Source organism: Homo sapiens, chromosome 9 (assembly GCF_000001405.40).
Source record: "Homo sapiens chromosome 9, GRCh38.p14 Primary Assembly".
In the NCBI taxonomy this organism is placed as follows: Eukaryota; Metazoa; Chordata; class Mammalia; order Primates; family Hominidae; genus Homo; species Homo sapiens.
In genome coordinates, this window is record NC_000009.12 from 9,734,577 (window position 1) to 9,755,416 (window position 20,840).

General features: G+C 34.8%; 1 protein-coding gene across 38 annotated transcripts in view; it reads right to left on the reverse strand.

Moving 5' to 3' along the window:
- PTPRD (protein tyrosine phosphatase receptor type D) overlaps window positions 1-20,840 on the reverse strand; it is a 2,298,757-nt gene that overhangs the window by 1,420,331 nt on the left and 857,586 nt on the right. The gene's annotated exons all lie outside the window — the stretch shown is intronic.

Sequence of the window (20,840 nt, forward strand, 5' to 3'; positions counted from 1 at the left end):
AAAAAGCAAAACAGAGGAAAGACAGAAAATAAGAGTTTTTGTTTCAGAAAAAATAGACAATAAAATGCTATAATTCTACAATATTATTCTATTTACAAGTACTGCTGGCTGAATAAACACTTTAAGACATAATTTCTGTAGATGAAAATGTGTCTTTAACTTAAACTGAAGTGTTTAACTTACATTGTGCCATTAAAACAAAGGAAAAAAGGAAATGTTCTAGCTCTAGAAAATATTTTTTCCAATTATTTAGGTGACGATAATTATTTGGTTAATTCTTTAAGTTCTCAAAGAAGGGAGATTATTATTAAATGCACTTGAAATTCTCTAATAATTAGTACATAAATTTAATGTTTTTATGGGAGAAGCAGACCAAAGTTTCATTTTAAAAGACTTTTCCCATTTTTCAGGTTTTTGCTGGCTATGACAATAATTAGTTCTGGCTTTGATTTATTTTTGAAAAGTAAAACCATGAAAGATATTATAATGACAAAGATAAAAGGCTTTTAATTTTTAAATGATACTAAAATGCAGCCTCTATTTTTTAAAGGTGTTTGAAGTTCAAATGAAAGGCAATATCTGAACAGCACAAATTCCCAAGAGGAGACCCAGCACCTGCCATGGGATGCAAAGGTTTTATAAATGTTGTCTTGTGTAAAGAAAATGGCAAACATTGTGAGGCCTTTTGCAAATATGCCTGCCTGCTTCTGTGTTTGAGCAGAAATATTGAACTTCTAACCATTATTATTATAAAATAAAGGAGATTATTCTTTAAACATTTGATGGTAGCCTTTTCCTTTTGTCTTGGGAATCGAGTTTGAAACTACACATTTGAAAAACACATGTCTTTCTTTGAAAGAGAATGGAGAACACGGTAAGTGTGAAAGGAGTTGACACTATTGTGTAAGGTTTTATATGTGCATATGAATATGTGTCTGCATCTTACTGTCAGAAAATTTAAATTAGGTTATTTCTGTTGGGCCAGAATAATCTCCATAATGCTGGACCACTAATTGGTAACAAATCATCCCGAAGGAAGCTATTAATATTCCTTCTCTAGTGTCTAAAATCATTTGAGAAGATCAATGCTTCACTTTTGAAGAGTAAGTAATGGATCTTGTCATATTATTAGAGACCTTACTGAATTCTCTAGCCTGGCTTCAAAGATGTAAAACGGATGATCTATCTCTTAGAAACCTTTGTCCATGGATCTTAGTTCTATTAACGACCTAAGAAAATAATCTGATACATTCTTTTATTGTCATATTTTAAGTTATTTCTTTGCGGTGCGTTATAAACCACAAAAGATTTGCAAAAATAGAAATGTATACAGCTCAATAAATTATCACAAAGTCAATGCTCATGTAATTATTACACAGATAAACACCTTGAAGTTAACCAGTACATAGAAGCCTGTGGCTTGTTCTGTCACACTGGGTAAGTGTATATGTATATACAAAGATACATGTGCAGAGATTTGTAATCATGCTGCATTAATGTCTCATGTTCATCACAATATTTCAAGTCATTTGACTGTGTGTTACCAGGGAGGGACAACACCTTGAACATATCATAGGATGTCATTGAATATATTGTACACTGTAATCTCAGTAAACTATTAATTATCTGTATTTGTCAAAGTATCTGGATTTTTTGTCCAGCCTATGGTTCTAACTTAAGTTTTAAACTTTATCTACTTGGAATCATGTACTACATCTCTCTCTCTGTGTACTTCCTTTCCTTTAAAATCTTATTTATGAGATTCATTCATCTTGTTGCTCATAACTGCAGTTAGTTTTCATTACTCCTATAGTATTCCATTGGATAAATATTCCACAATTTACATATTCAATCCACTATTGGCAGATATGTGGATTGTTTCCACTTTGGGGTTATTAAGAATTACCCTACCATAAGCATCCTTTGTTAAGAGTGACATTACTGGGTCAGAAAATATGCCTATGTTCTACTTTAGCAAATAATTTAAATAGTGTTACGAGAATTGCCATTGTTGCACTTTTCCAGAAAATATTTCTTTTCTGCTTAATTTTAGCTATCAGTTTACTATTTAGTGGAATATTTCTGTACTTTTCATTTACATTATCTTCATAACAAATTTTAGTGCATTTTCATATGTTTATTAGTCATACACATGTGTATTCATCTGAGAAGGTTTTTTTAAGTTATTTTTATGCATTTTATATGGGTAGTCTTTCCTTATCGATTCACAGAAGTGCTTTATGTATTCTAGATGCGAGTCCTTTGTTGGTTATATATTGTGAAAATCTGTTCCCTACTCCATGGCTTCCTTTTTTACTCACTTACTGTTTCTTACGTTGAACACCTATTGTTAATTTTAATGCAGTCCTATTGAATCATCTTTACTTATGTGTCCTGTTTATTACATAAAATAATCATATATACACATCTGTATTTGCTTCTAAAAATCTTTTTATGTTATGATTACTTTGCCTTTCACGTCTAATCCAAAAATCTACCTGAAATTTACATTTTGAGTTGGGGTAAAATTTCATTATTTTTCCAAATTGGTCCAGCAAAATTTATTGAAAATATGACATTTTCAAACTGCTCTACAATATTAGTCATGAATTCAGTACCCATGGGTGCTTGGCTCTGTTTCTAGACATTTGTGTGTTCCACTGAACAATTTGTCTATATTGTACTGTCTTACACAATATGCCTAATAATATGCTTTGATAGCTGGTAGAGATTTTTCTACCCTTTCTTTCAATATGAGTGTGTTGACTTTTTACTATATTGATATAATTTACATAATGTTTACTATTTAAAATTCTACAATTGTTTTTTCAGTATGTTCAGTTTGTGCAAAGATAACTACTAATTCCAGAATGTTTCTAACACCTTAAAAGAAAACCCTATATAGTACCTATTAGCAGCCAATATCTGATTCTCTTGTATCTTCTTCCCCTGATAACTCCTAATCTATTGTCTCTCTGGATTTGCCTATTCTGTACACTTCATATAAATGGAATCACACAACATGTGACCTTTTGTGTCTGCCTTAATTTAAAATATTTTTAAAGTCCATTTATACTGTTGCAATATAATAGTACTTTATTCCTTATGTTGCTAAAAAATATTTCATCGAATGGATATACCACATATTGTTTATTCACTAGCCGAAGGACATTTAGGTTTTCATTTTTTTGCTATTATGAATAACAATGCTATGAACATTCCTATATGTGTTTTCTTGTGTGAACATTTGTTTACAGTCCTCCTGGGTATATACTTAGGAATTTCAGGGTCATCTGGTAATTCTATGTGTTTGATGAACTGCCAAACTGTCTTCCACAGCAACTGCATCATTTCACATTTCCACTAGCAAGGCATAAGGTTTACAATTTCTCCATATCCTTGCCAACACTTATTTTCTATTTTATTAAAAAAATCAAACACCGCATGTTCTCACTCATAGTTGGGAATTGAACAACGAGAACACGTGGACACAGGAAGGGGAACATCACACACCGGGGCCTGTTGTGAGGTGGGGGGATGGGGGAGGGATAGCATTAGGAGATATACCTAATGTTAAATGACGAGTTAACGGGTGAGGCACACCAACGTGGCACATGTATACATATGTAACAAACCTGCACGTTGTGCACATGTACCCTAAAACTTAAAGTATGATAAAAACAAAAATTCAAACAACAACAACAAAAAATCATAGCTATATGGTGGAATGTGATGGATCTCACTGTAGTTTTAATGTTTGTCTCCCTAATGACTAATAATGTTGAACATTTTTTTCATATGGTTATTGCCCATTTTTTAATCTTCTTTGGAGAAATATGTATTAAAATTCTTCACTCACTCACTTTTTTTTTTTTTTTTTTTTTTGAGATGGAGTCTTGCTCTGTCACCCAGGTTAGAGACCATCAGTGCGATCTTGGCTCACTACAACCTCTGCCTCCTGGGTTCAAGTGATTCTCCTGACCCAGCCTCCTTCTGTGATTACAGGCACGTGCCACCATCACGCCTGACTAATTTTTGTATTTTTAGTAGAGATGGGGTTTCACCATGTTGGCCAGGCTGGTCTCGAACTCCTGACCTCAAGTGATCTGCCTGCCTCGGCCTCCCAAAGTGCTGGGATTACAGGCGTGAACCACCACACCTGACCTCTTTGCTCACTTTTTAATTGGGTTGTCTTTTTATTGTTGAGTTCTAAGTGATCTCAATATTTTATTAGATATGTGATTTGCAAATATTTCCTCCCATTTTGTGTTGTCTTTCACTCTATGGTATTATTTTATCCCAATAATGTAGAATTTTCTACATATAGCTTTACATCTTTCAGTAGATGCATTCTGATTTGATATTTTTATGTTACCAGACATGGTATTTTTATATTACTTGTATATAGAAATGCATTTGATTTCTTAGTGAGGAACCTCAATAAAAAATCATATATTAAAATTAATAATCTGGTACATTCCTTTCAATTTACTATCCACACTTACACAATAATAGTTTTATCTAGTCTATTCAAATCCTTTAACTTTACTAAAAAGGCATGCATGTGTGTATGCATGAATTCACGTGTATATGCACGTATACATTTTGCATTCACGCATTTACCAAGACCACAAATACAACACTGAATACAAGTGGTGATACTGGGCATCCTTGTCTTTATCTCAAAAGGAACCACTGCTACTAAGTGTGATATTAGTTGTAAGCGTTTGCTAGATATTTTTATATCATAATAAGAAAGCACACTTCTATAAGAATGTTTATAATAAAGGGTTTTTTTGTTGTCCATTACTTAAATAGTTACATAATTACTTAGAGTGTCTTTTTCTTGCGCTTCTCATCTTTGCTAAGTTGTATTTTTCTAGAAATTTTATTCAAAATTCTATGTTTTTAGAAAAGTAATTTCTAACATCCTCTCAACATCCTTTTAGTATCATCAGGGTTTATAGTGATTTAACTGACATTAGCTTTCCTTGAATCCTCTATTTTTTTTACTTGGCAAGTTGCATCACTGTCACTTTCATCAGTTTATTTAAAAAAAAAAGCCAGTTGTGGTTTTGTTGATCCCCTCTGTTGTATGCAGTACAATATATGATATAATATTTTCCATTATATTACCTTCTGATATTTATTATTTCTCTTCTTTTGTATTTGAGATATATGTGCTGGGTCCTTCCTAACTTGTTGAGATAGATACTTATATTATTTTTCTGCCTTTTTCTCTACATATATATATATATGTGTGTAAATTACAGGTTTCACTTGTAATACTGGCTTTCATTTTCAAACAGCATTTTAATTTGTATTCATTTCTAAATATTTTCAAGTTGTGTTTTAAGAAATTCCAAAAATATAAATATCTATGTTTTAAATGTCCTAATATCTGAAGATTTTCTACCTCATATTAATTTGTACACAAAGCACTTACTCTATGTAATCTCAATCCTCTGAATGTATTGAAACTTGCCTTATGATTCAGCATCTGGTCATTTTTTATGAATGCTCTATATGTACTTAAAATTATATTGTAAAATTATATACATAAATTACCTTAAATGTGTTGATCTTGTGGTTTATTCAAATATTAGAAGATGCATGTTGTCATATCCCACCATGATTTGGGATTCATCTTTCTTTCCCTATAAGCTACATCATTTTTCCTTGTTATGCATATTAGCCATTAATATATAAACATTTGAAATATTCATAGTCTTTTGTTCAACAGATACTATTATGAAGTTGTTCCATTTTATCTCTAAAACTACTATTTTTTTTTTTTTGGAGATGGAGTCTCGCTCTGTCGCCCAGGCTGGAGTGCAGTGGCGTAATCTGGGCTCACTGCAAGCTCCGCCTCCCGGGTTCACGCCATTCTCCTGCTTTAGCCTCCCGAGTAGCTGGGACTATAGGCGCCCGCCACCACGCCCGGCTAATTTTTTTTGTGTATTTTTAGTAGAGACGGGGTTTCACCGTGTTAGCCAGGATGGTCTGGATCTCCTGCCCTCGTGATCTGTCTGCCTTGGCTCCCTTTCAAAGTGCTGGGATTACAGGCCTGAGCCACCGCACCTGGCCTCTAAGACCACTTTTCTTTCTAAGTAGGTTTTGTTTGAAATTAATAGAACCATACCAGTATTTTCATTGTTTTTTCTCAATACAATAACAAATAATTTTAGTGGAAAGTATTACATGTTAAAGTAAATTCTCGGGCTGTAAACTCACTAGTGGAAGCTACCAGCTCTTCCAAGGAAAGTCAACGAATGCTTTGACTGGAGTGAATACATATTCTAAACAGAGAAAATACCATATTCAACAACATAGATGGTAGTATATTCTATGTGGCTGAAGTCTGAGGTTCATTGTGGAAATAGATATAACCCAACATTGGAAACTAGAATTTCAGACGCGATTTGAGAGACTTGATAATGGAAAGACTTCGGTAACTGGCAATTTGAAGATAAGGCAAAGAAGATTTTGGGCAACCGGGTGATGATATCCTTCACTAAAACAAACCAATATGAGGAAGTAGTAGAGGAATATAAAGTAAAATGTAAATGTATTGAGTTTGAAAACGCTATAGCTTTTTCTGGGTACATAGTTCTGAAATCTGTACATGTAAATCTGTGGCTCAGGAGAATTTTACAAATTAGAGGTACACATTTGGAATTTATTAGTACTTTAGTGATAGAAGAAACATGGGAGAAAAGAAGGACACAGAATTAATAACCAATAATAGATACACAGGCAATCAATGAAATTTCAAAAATAGAATTTTTTTTACAAGGAGTAGTATGTTTAACTTTTATTTTTATGAACTTTACAAGTTAACAACAACAAAAATCCAGAAACGTTTGAGTTGGCTTTTTTTTTTAAATTATGATTATACTTATAAGTTCTGGGATACATGTGCAGAACTGGCAGGTTTGTTACATAGGTATACATGTGCCATGGTGGTTTGCTGCACCCATCAACCCATCATCTACATTAGGTATTTCTCCTAATGCTATCCCTCCCATAGTCCCCCAAACCCTGACAGGCCCCAGTGTGTGATGTTCGCCTCCCTGCGTTGGTGTATTCTCATTGTTCAGTTCCCACCTATGAGTGAGAATATGCAGTGTTTGGTTTTCTTTTCCTGTGTTAGTTTGCTGAGAATGATGATTTCCAGCTTCATCCATGTCCCTGCAAATGACATGAACTCATTCTTTTTTATGGCTGCATAGTATTCCATGGTGTATATGTACCACATTTTCTTTATCCAGTCTATCATTGATGGGCATTTGGGTTGGTTCCAAGTCTTTGCTATCGTGAACAGTGCTGCAATAAACATACATGAGCATGTGTCTTTATAGTAGAATGATTTATAATCCTTTGGGTATATACCTAGTAATGCAATTGTTGGGTCAAATGGTATTTCCGGTTCTAGATCTTTGAGGAATAGCCACACTGTCTTCAACAATGGTTGAACTAATTTAGACTCCCACCAACAGTGTTTTTAATATTCGCCATTCTAACTAGTGTGAAATGGTATCTCATTGTGGTTTTGATTTGCATTTCTCTAATGACCAGTGATGATGAGCTTTTTCCATACATTTGTTGGCTGCATAAATGTCTTCTTTTGAGAAGTGTCTGTTCAAATTAAATTAGTAAAATTGGCTGAGAAACTTAAGGAAGAGACGTGCAAGGAAGGAGCATGTATGATGGGGACCAAGAACAAGATTGTCAGCAAGATGGAATGTTCTTCAGCGCATTCCAAGAGCATGTAAAAAGAAATGTGACCTTCACTTTCACCTTTCGTAGAGAAATGTATGCAGAATACTCAAATTAGAAGCATCATGTATTCAGTAATAAATGGTAATTTATAGAAATATAATTGTAATTGAATGTATGATTTTCTTTTTTGTAATTTTGATAAAGAAAGGAAGAAAAGGGTACTATTCATACCTTTTGAGAATGAGGATATGGGTTAAGGAAAGGTAGCTCTTGTTTAGGAACATGTTATGCTAAAACTTTGAGGTCATCAGAGAGCCTGAGCCATATTCTTTATCAACCTTAAAAAAAAACCTGGCAGATTTACAAAAAACATGGTATGTTCCTTCCTTCATCTCAAATATGTAACACAAGACTTTTATACCTAGACCTTAGTGTTTCCACTTAGACACACCTGTTATAAATATCAACTCTTTCCTTCCTCTACTAGCTTCTTTTGACCAAGATATGTAATTCAAATGACATATCTGTGGGATTAAATTCAACTACTATTGCTAAAATCTCAAGGTTTTGCTTTTTTATTGTTGTTATGCATACTCATTATACTGGCATAGAGAGACCTAAAATCAATTATACTGTTACTATCCTTCTTTAGTGTCTTCCTTTCTAATAATTAATAGGCATAACTGTACTTCTATGTCATACCAATTACTCCAAATGATGTGTATTTTTACATTCTTATTTATATAATTTATCTTGTCCTTTCAGTTATGCTTTTTGGGATACTCTGTTCCCACATAGCCTTACCTTCTCTCTACATCCCCCTGCAATGGCTCATGAGCCATAGGCTCTCAGACAGTGTTTATAAAATATGTATGAATGATAAAAATGCATTCATAAATAAAACAATTTTATATAAATGTAAAGTCACATGCCAAATGCATATTTCAGATCCTTTGGAGGGAGGTAGCCATGTTATGAGTCCAAGAGGGCTGGAACCAAAATGTCAAGAGTCTGTGTTCTGACTTTACTGCTTTTTAGATGTATTCATTTGGATAATTTGCCTAACCTTCAGTTTTCTTATATATAAACAGAAGATCTTAATGCCTAGATCTAATTACCTAGCTCAGGAATGTTATAAGGATTAAATAAGTTGTTCCTATGAAGGCACCTAGGTCAGCGCTTGTACTCAAGTGAGGGCTTAATATTAGATAATCCTGGACTTCATGGGCCATCTGACCTCCCTAAGGGCCCATTTCTCTGGTACCATAAATCATGACCTAGTTCTTGACACTACCTGTTCACAATCCACACCCTCTTCCTTTTCCAAAGGCATGACCTTTAACTGTCATGTTAAGACAGAAGAAGAAATGAAAACACTCCTTTGGCACCCCATAGTCCAAATCTTACTTCTTCATAGCAAAAACTCAGTCTATACACACACACACACACACACACACACACACACACACACAATTTATACTGACTGTATAAATTTCCCTCCAAAAAATTAAAGGTGGGTTCGATGATTTCTATTTGACTCTCTATAAGGTCTTGAATTTTTATCCAAGAAGAAAATATGCAGGCTAATTGATCCGATAAATCTATACATTGTAGCCTCTCTACTCCTTATAGAAACAGTGACATTAAATAACCTACACCTCCTATATCCTAACTTGTATATGTTCTACATAATGCATCTGAGTGGGCAGCATCTTGATGACGTCATTCTATTTGTAAGACTTTTACATATACTTCTTCAACTTAACAGCGTTTCTTTAAGCCTAGGAATTTTCTTGCATGAATACTTATTACCACCATTTTCGATAGGAATTTTAACTCACTTGAGGAGATTTAATTCAACCTTCCAAATGATCACACTTCCCAAACAAGTCATAATCAACGATATATCGTCAAGGAGATTCGTGCAATTATCTACAAGTCTTCTAATTGGAAATACACATTTTACCTTTCCTTTGGAGGGAAATGAGTCGTTTTAGAGTAGAGTGGCTGCAATTGAGGCAAACAATTTAAGTAAAAACAAATGGGTTTTATAAACCTTGCATGTAGATGTTGAGGACTGCATATATTGTTACCAATTTTGTTAGTTATTTTACTCTGCAAGACTGAGTTTGAGAATTTAATGACCAGTGATACATTTTCCACAGTGAGCTTACAGAACTTACCTCAATTTAGTTCAAATATCTCTAATTTATATTTGCATAAGGTTTCTATTTCAATACCCATAACCTTTGCTATTGTAGCAATGTCTTCTCTAATGACATAAGTGAACACTACCTAAATTCTGCTTGGAAGAAAAATGCTACTGTCACAAATACTTTGTGAAATATACATATACATAAATATATCTTCAAGTATATGTATGTTGAATAAAAGAGTAAAAGAGTAAACAAATTAATGAAGAACAGAAAAAGAATATAAATCTCCTAGCCTGGTATGCTTGATAATTAGTAAGTGCTAGATAAATACTATTAATATAATCCACATCATAATCTAATTCATCACACAGCTTTTATGTGAGCCCTCCAGCAATTTTAATAATACCAACAATTTTACAACTAAAAATATGTGCTTGAGTATATCATTTGCATGTAGTTCTAATGCTGCCCTGGAATATTATCTACACATCAGAAATCAATAGAAAGCATTTTCTTGAATCTCATTTCCATAATCAACAAGCTAATTCAAATCCATGTAGAGCAAATAAGTGATTTCGATTGAAACATTTTTAATGTCTTCAAAAAAGTGGACTGATAAAATACTTTAAACATGAAAAGTAACTTAATTATTAAAAATTATAATTATAAAAATAGTTAACCAGAAGAAAAAACTCAAAATTCAGATATTTTTAAAGCACTATAGTTTATCATGTCTCTACTTTTTCTTGTGCAATTTTTATAACATGAAATAGATTGTGTGGCTGTTGTTTCAATGCAATGGGGAAACAAAATAGCCTTAAATGCTGTGGACTATGCTAAATATGAACTTATTTTCAAGGAAAAATTCAGTAATTCTGACTACTTTTTTTGTTAAGCTGCTTCCTAGAAGTGAAATGAAGGCTTCGGTCCCACCAGAGAGGCAAGTAGCACAAAGAAGTTTTCCTTTCTCTTTCTTCCAGCAAAATGACTCAGACTATGAAATTAAAATTTGGAAAACATCACCCTATTAAATTTCCCTCTCTTTATCACCATCGTGGCAGGGCAAATGAATGTTCCCTTCAGCTGTGTTCCCATGATTTTTATCCATTTACATATTGCAATTCCTCAAAAAAAAATTTAACTATTTCATTCCCTTGTACAAACTTTCTGAAGATTCTGAACTCAAGAGCAGAAAGTGCCTTATTGCTCATGATCCTTGTCACAGTCTAGATAATCTTGTAGACTCTAGCCCTTTGCCTACCTTTCTGGCCTCAATTTTGTTTTCCTCACTGTACTCTAGCTACACAGGACATATTTCAGTTTCTAAAGTGTGTTCCCTGACCCCATCACAGTGCTTTTCATATAGTATATAGTAAGGTAGCTAAATGCTAGAATAGCTCTCCCAGTTGTTGTCTCTAGAACAAGAGAACAACTGAAATCACAGTATAATAGGCTTTAATAATAAACACATTAAATAAAATGGTAGCCCTTCTTATTTAAAACAATGTCATCTTCATTGCTTGGGATGGGGAAAAAAAGAACTCAATTAACTTTGCAAATGAAATAAGATTTTATATGAGTACTCTAGTATGAGAAACCAAGTTTCCTCAGGAAACCCAAGAGAAAATCTGCAATGCTTAAAAAAGTTTACTTCAGTTTGCCCAAGAGAATGAAATTATGAAAGAACAAATAAAGACAGCTTGATCTAGAAGAAGAAAAAGATTATTCTTAAGAGGTATGTTGTGATCTTAAAGGGTAAGCTAAGCACATATAAAATAAAAGAGACGACATGCTCAGGTCAAACTTTTTAGAAGGGTTTCAGAAAAAAAGAGAAGAGGTTTTAATCATTACTAGATTGGAAAGTTACTTGTGCCCAATAAATATAACCAAAGAAAGGAGACAGTCTCAGAGACTCAACTCTTTTGGAGAAAACATATCTAAAAATCTATCAGGGGAACAAATCTGCAGATAGAGTAATTAGCACAATGAGGAACCACCTCTTCAGTACTTAGATAATCAGACCACATGGCATCTGAACTTCTGTAATTGAGAGGAAAATTGCCAAAAAGATCAATATAGAATTCTTAAAATTGTTTCACGTAAATATTGTGAGTCGATATTCACTAAATTGGCATAATTTATAACAAATTGGGATATGAGTGTTGCTTAGCCATTAGGGATTCTGAGAAGTTGGATGAGAAGTGAAATAAGGCATAGAAAAGATGAAACACAGTAAACAAGAACCCAGCAGGCAATAATATACTGAATCCAGAGCTAGCTCACACGCTCTGTAGGAATGTCCATCTTGGGTCACAGTTTTTTACTTCAGGGTGTGAAGATAGACAAGATGTGCTTGAAAAGTTTTTTTTTTTTTTTTTTGGCAGATGCAGTACTCATTTATTTTTTAACTGTCATAAGACAAAATATAGACAAGTATATGAATTCCTGGACTGCAAAGCAAAGTTGAATAAAAAGGAAACAGTACATTCTGAATCTGCAAACAGTAGTAGCCCTGTAGGTGTTAGGAAACGTTTAACATGTTAAACAGTTAAAAATTCACCTGAGCCTCCTAGAAATGTGGAAGGAAACAATAGCAGGAAATAGAATACTGGGGTCATGCTCCACTGCTGGAGAGAAATGTATTGTAGAAATAAAGAAGTTTCTGATGTCCCTAAAAGAATACAAGTTTTTCAAAGCCTGGAAAAGAGGGAAGAAGCACTCTGAGCAGGAGCCACTGACAGAGGTATTGGGCTTAGCAGACCACCTGGGGATGCACATTTCAGGACTATCAACAGCTTCTGTTCAGGCTCATGATTTCCGATATGAAATAAATATGGGGCTAAAAGAGGAACCCTCCCAAGAAAACATGTTGCACAGGTTTCAGCATCTCCATTTCTAGAGTTCATGGCAGCAACTCGTGCAGCACAGAACTTTATATATCTGCTCACAATAGAGTGTGTGAGCCATGCTACAAGACAGAATCCACATTCGTTACAAAACTGGGGCTGAAAATTAAATTGCTTTGAATATACTATTTGGGGAAAAATGGTGCCTCAGATTATACCTGGTGACTGAATCTTTTTTGTTTTTTTTTTTTTTTTTTCTCCCTGAGATGGAGTTTCACTCTTTTCGCCCAGGCTGGAGTTCAATGGCACCATCTCAGCTCACTGCAACCTTCGTCTCGCAGGTTCACACAATTCTCCTGCCTCAGCCTCCTGAGTAGCTGGGATTACAGGTACCCACCACCACACCTGGCTAATTTTTTTGTGTGTATTTTTAGTAGAGACAGGGTTTCACCATTTTGGCCGGGCTGGTCTCAAACTACTGACCTCAGGTGATCTACCTGCCTCGGCCTCCCAAAGTGCTGGGATTAGAGACGTGAGCCACTGCACCTGGCCTGAGTCTACCATTTTTACAAATTTCTAAACTTAGCAGTATGGCCGGAATGTTTCAAAAACACTCTTTGAGAAAGGAATGTATAAACAGGTGGATTTCCTCTGAGTCACTGTCCATGCAATGTTGTGATTAAGCTTATGACAGAAGAATTAGATCACGTGGAGATCACAGCTCTTGGAATCCAGAAAAATGGCATGAACTGAATGGCATCTCAGCAAGGGTGGTCCAAGCAAGATTTTCCTGGGATATATTCTTTCCATCATTCATCAGTGAATCACTGGTTCACTGCTGTAAAATAGTGGGTTGCTGTGTTTTCTGAACTTGGTGCATATAAAGATAGTATGGTAATAATCTTCTATGTCTTATTACTTTTATTTACTTTTTATTACTTCTATGTCCTCTGTACTTTTTAAACAGTGGGATCCTACACTAAAATCTTTGCATATTTGCATGAATGTTCACACCAGAATTGTTCTTAATAACAAAAATAAGAAGGGACAATGATCCATAGAAGTGTTTAATAAATTGTGCCATATTCTATCAATGAGCTATTGCTACGTGCATTAACATGGACAGTTCAGAAACCAAGATCAAAATAAAGACGAAAAAAGATCTGTCAATTGTGATTCAACTTATTTTGAAAACAGAAAAATAAACAACACATCGTAAGGGATACATACTTAAATAATTATAACGACAGAAAAGCAGGATGGTGTTTACCTCAATGAGGAGGAGTACTGCTGAGGTACTGAAGGAACTACAACCAATTTCAATGACTGATAGCTGCTGAAGTCACCCACACTACTTGGGAATCAGAGCAGTTAGCTGTCTGGCTGAGCAAATAAAAAAATTATTTCAGGCTTTCGTTTCTTTGGCCTTTAACTTACGAATTTTGGCCTTTGATTTGACTGGATTTTTACACAGCAAAGTGATTTCATTTGGAGATTTATGTCAACCTCTGGAAATGTAATAATGGAAGAGTTATAGTGTCCACATTTGGTTCTTTCAGTATCAGTGACATTATATTATTGTCTGCATACTGATATTCATTTATTGTGTACTACTGTAATCTACATTTGACAACATGGCTGGTGATAATTTGAGGTGGGAAAAATCAATAGTGTGGCAAAACCCAATAGGCTAACAGAACCAATACCTGCAGGATGTGGAGTATAATCTCCCTTCTTCTTCTTTCCTCTGGTTTTTGTGAGTGTCTCCATTAGAACAATCCACCTGATCTTCTCTTTACTCCTCTGATTCTAAAGTTTGGCAGAAGACCCTGAGCACATCCACTTCAGCCCCCTCTTGACTCCTGCCTCTCTCCATGCCTCTCAGTTTCAAATCTCAGTCAATTTCTATGCTGTCATGTGATGATCAGGGAGGGCCAACTCTGCCCTGTTTGGGAGGCATTTGGTTGTTCAGCTGCACCAATTATCAGGTTGGTAAGTTGGCTTAACTCAGTGGTAGGGTATTAAGCCTTTTTGCCCATGCCTTTATAACCACGTTTTCCAATCATCTCTATAATAAAACTATTTGACCTCCATTTGTCTGTCTCCTGAGTCTTAATTCTGAATTGATTCCAGGCTCAGGAGGGGAAGAACAGGGAATTATTTATTGATCCCCTAAACCCTAAGAGCAGTGATTATAATAAAACACTGGATGACATTATCAGATATTTATTATTATCAGATCAATCATTGTTTAACAGTCTTAATTCCTTTCATGACTCCATAACAAGACAATATTCTATAGACAATCCACAGAATGTACACACCACAGGGTCAGTAAAAGAGGAATGCCTTTTTAATAATAAATCATTTTTTGTGTGTTCCAATATTTTCAAGGAAGGAAGGCCTCAGGAAGAGATTTATATTAAGAGTCTGACAGTTCATTTGGAAACCTCATAAGGCAAAAGTTAGGAGTATAGTTATTAGAACAACTCTCAGGTTAGTCACGCTTCCTGTCTCTTTCCTCCCCTCATCCATTAAAAAGAGGAGGAAGAAAGAAAATAAGTTTCATAAGTTGAAGTTGGATTTAGCTAAGGTCACTTGAAATAACCAGCAGTATTTTTTCACTGCCTATATAAAATAATAGAAGATGCTCATATGTTGACTGATGTGTGTGGAACTACTTGCACAGCCTTCATAACAAAGAGCTCTGGGGTTTTGAAGATGGGTATTTTAATTGAAAACAACTACGAAAAATAAACTTTTATATGATTAATGTAAAGCAGTTTTACTTAACATTACACAATTACTAATACAAATTGTAAAAGTTTTGCCAATATGCTAAATCCTTTATTCCTCTCTCTAGCGCATATCCTAAATGCAATCAAAGGTGATGATTAGATGTTTTAAATTTATTCTAGCAATTATATACTTTATGTAACTATTATTGAAATGCTCAAAAATAAAATAATGTGAATGGCAATCACAGATTTTAAAAACTGTCTTTGCTTTAGTTATCAAGCCATCCAAAAAAAAAGAGCTGGAAATAGAGATTAAACATCTAATCTATAGCACCATTACAGAGAAATTATAGACTCCCTCAGCTTATATACAAACCATGATGCCTCTACCCCACATTCTCTTTGATGAGAAAACATGATCCAAAACTTCTCCTCCCTTTGTTTAACCCAGTTCTGCACCAAGACTTCTACTTACCTCACCATAACCAATCTCAGTAAGAGTTCTTTAAAGCAAAGGGTGAGCCCAACAGATTCACATTAAATTGTAATGTGAAACTCTAACTTCCTACAGAGGTTTGCACTAGGGGTGTGGGTATGTGTGTGTGTGCATAGTTTCTTCTGCAGCTTACCCTTTAACAAAACATAAGAAATCTTAAATAAGTGAAACATTTTCAATCACTAACAAGATATCTTGAGGAAGGACAACTATGAACTCCAGGGACTCAGGGCTTAATGGGAACTTTTCTATTTAATCTCTAAATTTTATTTCCCCTCCCCTAATTCCTGAAGTCTATATGCTTCCTCCAAAGGCCCAAGGTTCTGCCCTATTCCATTTCTGTGTAGGACATGAAATGGAGGTGCTCAGGGCAGAACAAGATTAATGAGCAGCCAGTTGGCTTCACATGTCGCAATCATTAAAGTGCATTAAATCATCACTGGAGAAAGAAATCAAATACAGTGCCTAATTTTGATTTTCCAATGCAACTTACACGACTTCAGAATGTTCGTGGCCTCTCCTGCCACAGCAGACAGGTTCTTGAATGAAGATTCTAAACATGCACACTCTTATCCACACAATAAAACAAACAGAAAATTGCTCCTAGGTGCTATTTTTAAATCTCCACTAAGTATTGAACTTAAAAAAAATATTTTTACAAGAGTATCCCATTATTAGACTTCCTAGGATTACTATAAGTCCCCTGCAAGATGACTTTAGTTCCAGGCTTATTTATTCATTTATTTTTAAATCACTGCTCAAAGCTTGGAGACACTAAGAATTAACTCCAACAAGTGGATATGAAGTCCAACTTCACCACTGACTGGGTTTTGAACTCCAGAAAAATTAATGCAACATTAGAACCTGAGTTAACTCATCTCTACAATGGGAATAATAATGAGAATAATGACTACCTTTTATAAATTGAATTATGTCACCCTCAAAAAAGGTGTGTCTGAAGTCCTAACCACCAGTACCTCAGAATGTGACTTTCTTTGGAAAGAGAAACTTTAACAGAGGAAATCAAATTAAAATGAGGTCATGTTGAAGTGGGATGGACCACTTATCCAACATAACTAGCGTCCTTTTAAAAAGAATAACGTGAAGAAGAGACACACGGTACAAACATCATGTGAAGATGAAGACAGAGATTGGAATGATATATCTACTAGTCAAGGAGTGCCAAAGATTGCCAGCACACCATCAGAGCTAGGAGGGGGCGTGTCTCATCTCCAGAGCTATGAAATAATCAATGTCTGTTGTTTAAGCTGCTCAGTTTGTACTACTTTGCAATAGCAGGCTCAGAAAACTGACACACTACTCAAAAAGGTGATTGTGAGGTTTAAATAAAGTGATATATAAAGCATGTCACACAGGATAAGCTCTTAATAAATTAATATTAAAAATAGTAACAGTGGTGGGATATTTTGAAACATAACCATTTGGTAGATTATACAACAACTATATTCGATTTATTCTTCATTTCTATTTTTAGGAATTTAAATAAGAAAATATTCCAGTGGTAAGTCAGGAGACAATGAAGGAATTATAAAGGAGATAAATTTCTTACCAGTCAGTGTGTGCTAATTGTTTCAATCCCCTGTAAATGGTTTGGCACGAGAGGAGGTTGGAACACTTAGCTAAATTGAAGTTTGGGGATTATCTGTGAATTTAAAGTATCTATGCCATTTTGGCCCCTATTAGCACAAGTAATTGAGAGGAAAATCTTGCCAGTTATGCTTTTCCATAAGGCTTAATGTGGACTTCGATATTTAAGTAATTCATTAGCAGGCTTAAATGGTATCATGGAACAACATTAAAGTACGTAAGAGATAGTCTGTGACCTTCATTTTAGAGATGAACAAATTGAGACCCATAGAGGTTATAATGAACTCAAGGTTTATTATAACAGTTTACAGTGGAAAAGCTGACACTGGAATCCTTGTGTACTAGTTTCTTGTAAAAATGGAGTGTGCCTTTCAAAATTCTGTGAGTTTGATTTTTAGAATCCCGTGGAGCTTTTTAAATTATCAGAACTCCAAATTCTGCACATGGAACTTTAAGATCGAGGTTGAGGGAACTCAGATCCAGGGAGAAGAAAATGACATTAACATTTTCAGTAAAGAAACCTCAAAAGTTTCATTTGGGGAAGGAGATGCAGTGGGGACGGAGGGCAAGTATTTTTACACTAAAATTATCAGCTGTATACAATTTTAGAAAAATCGTTTTACATTGTTTAGAAGATCCATTAAATATGGCCTGGCACGACCTTTCTAGGACAAGTCATTAAAGCCCTAAATGGTATTTGGAAATGCTGCTACCTCAGATTGAGGTCATTTGCATTATATAATAAAACACACAGCATACTTTGCTTGGCAAGTTCACTGGAATGGCTGAACTTTGGCCCCTTGCATGATTTTGCAAATACAGAGTGTACTTGTTCTCTACTTAACAACTAACCCCACTTAAATTAAAACAAGCTGCCCCCTTTTCACCTCTGGTGTGCTCTGCTTTTAAGTATGCATTGTGAGAAGAAATGTTAGACTTTTAATACAACAAACTTTGTTTCATTGCATTAGTTTTTTCACTTTGGTTTATTATTTTATATTTTCAGTTTTTATAGGACATTTCCATGTGGTCTTTCCCCAAGGACATCACTACTGTAATTGAGGGGCCCAGTACAGAATCTATTCCAGAAAGAATCATTCAGTTTCATTTTGTAGCTTCATAGCCCAGAACCAAAACGTTTCAAAAAACACTCAATAACACCAATACAGGGACCCCTCTGGACAACATATCAATTTGTGTTATGAAGTGAATTATAGCTGGACCCGCCAGAGCTGGTATAGTTAAGTGTCTGTCAGTGTTTCCATTATACTTTGAGGGCTTTGTTCTTGGTTGCAAAAATACCCTTCAGGCTAAAGCACGCAAGGCTAATGTGGGGAGTGACTGTTCCCTTTGTTTATTTTTTACCATTTAAAAACACTAGCTCTCTTGTGTGTTTGCTTGTTATACATTTTAAAATAAAGAAATTTTGGTTTTATAAATCAACAGTCTGCCAGAGTGATGGTGGTTTTAATGGGGTGAGCTTAGGGTATGAAAGTTCACAAGAGTTGGTGTGATCCACATTGTGCATCCTGGAGGTTATCAAAGCCTCAAAAAGGAAGGTCCAATGTGTCGCAGATGCTCTCTGAAAATTACAGGTGTAATTATTGGGCCTCTAAATTTTAAATTCAGAGGTCACCATTTATATCTTGGATGGAATATGACTGCATTATGTTTAGGGTTTAGCTTTGTCTTCCCTTTTTCATGCCCCTATCCTTACATTGAATCCATGCAAATTCTTCCCTTAAGAACCTAGCTCAAATTTCCTATTTTCTAAGAAAACTCGGATTTCCTCAAATAGACTCAGATGTTCTTCCCATAAGCTTACTTAGATCCCCTAGATCCAATATAGCAATTATTATATTATACCATTTGTCTGTGTGTCTTTTTCTTCACCAGGCTGGATGATCTGAGGAAAAGAACTACTTATTAGCAGAATGCTAGACATATTAAATATTAAATATGCTCAGTAAAAACTGATTGCTTGAATGAAAGGATGGAGGGATGAATGGAAATGTGTTCTGTGAAACAGAATTAATGACAAGGGAACTGGAGGAATGAAAGAGTCTTTGAAAAACAGGGACTATCTTTAATATGACTTCCTGGTTCTAGTTTTCAATCTTCCAGAGGGTACAAATTCTTACACGCCCCGTAATGAAGAACCTCCCAGGAAACTGGATGACTTGTAAACTTTTACTGGAAGAAATAAATGCAATGGGATTTGTTGAGAAAACTACTGTTCAAGGAGCAAGGAGATGAAATGTTTATTCTGACTTAGTCACTGACTCGGTGACCCTCTTCAAGTTACTTAACAGCTCAGTGATTCCATCTCTCTGCAAATGGTGATAAATAATAGCAGTTCTTGACGGCTTCACAAGAATATTTGGCAAAAAATGCATTAGCATCTTTGAGACATTTTATTAACAAACAAACTATATATATTACACAATATTATACTGATATTACATGCTATGTACTAAATAATTTATTTTTAAGGGCACTATATTGTTGAAATTACATTAACCTAATCACAAAGTATAATTGGAAGGTTTGTTTCTTCTACTTGTTACAGGCAGTTGGACTATATTCTAAAAAGAAAGTTTATGTAAAGTAGATTGTTCAATTGTTTCTGCATTTAGCATGTGAGGACAGCCTATGTGATTGGTATGCTGAATAAGCTGTCACGTTCTACCTGAATCACCAAACACATCTTCAATAAAAGGTGCTAAGGAGAATTACCAATGCTTTTAGAAGAAAATGATGGAGGAAATTATTTTTTTTAATCACAGGTTTGCAAAGCAGGTTAGACTTTAAGGACTTGAAAGCTTCCAGTGTTTATCAAAGGATAATTTGCGAATCAGCTGCTTTGATGTAACCTGGAATATTGTACTGCAGAGCCACAGACCCCATTCTGGATTTAAGGAATAAGAAATTTTGGGGAGATATACAAGAATCTGCATATTAAACAAGATCTCCAGATGATTCCTATAATCACTCAGGTTTGAGAACCCCAGTGAGATCTTGCATCTTTTGGTTCAGGAGGCAAATGAAAAGAGTACAGACTGCAGAAGATCAGGAGAAGGAAATTGAACTTCCCAGTGTACCAAGGGGTGATAAATGATCATCTCCCTTTAAAATCACTGAGTATGCTACCTTTTGTAGAATTTGAGAAGGAATTAGAAATTGTTTTAAGGGTAAAAATTGGGAAAAAATTGTACTAAAAAGACAGGAAAAAGGAATTGACAGCTTCAGTTTGTTGTCTGTTACCACGGTTTAA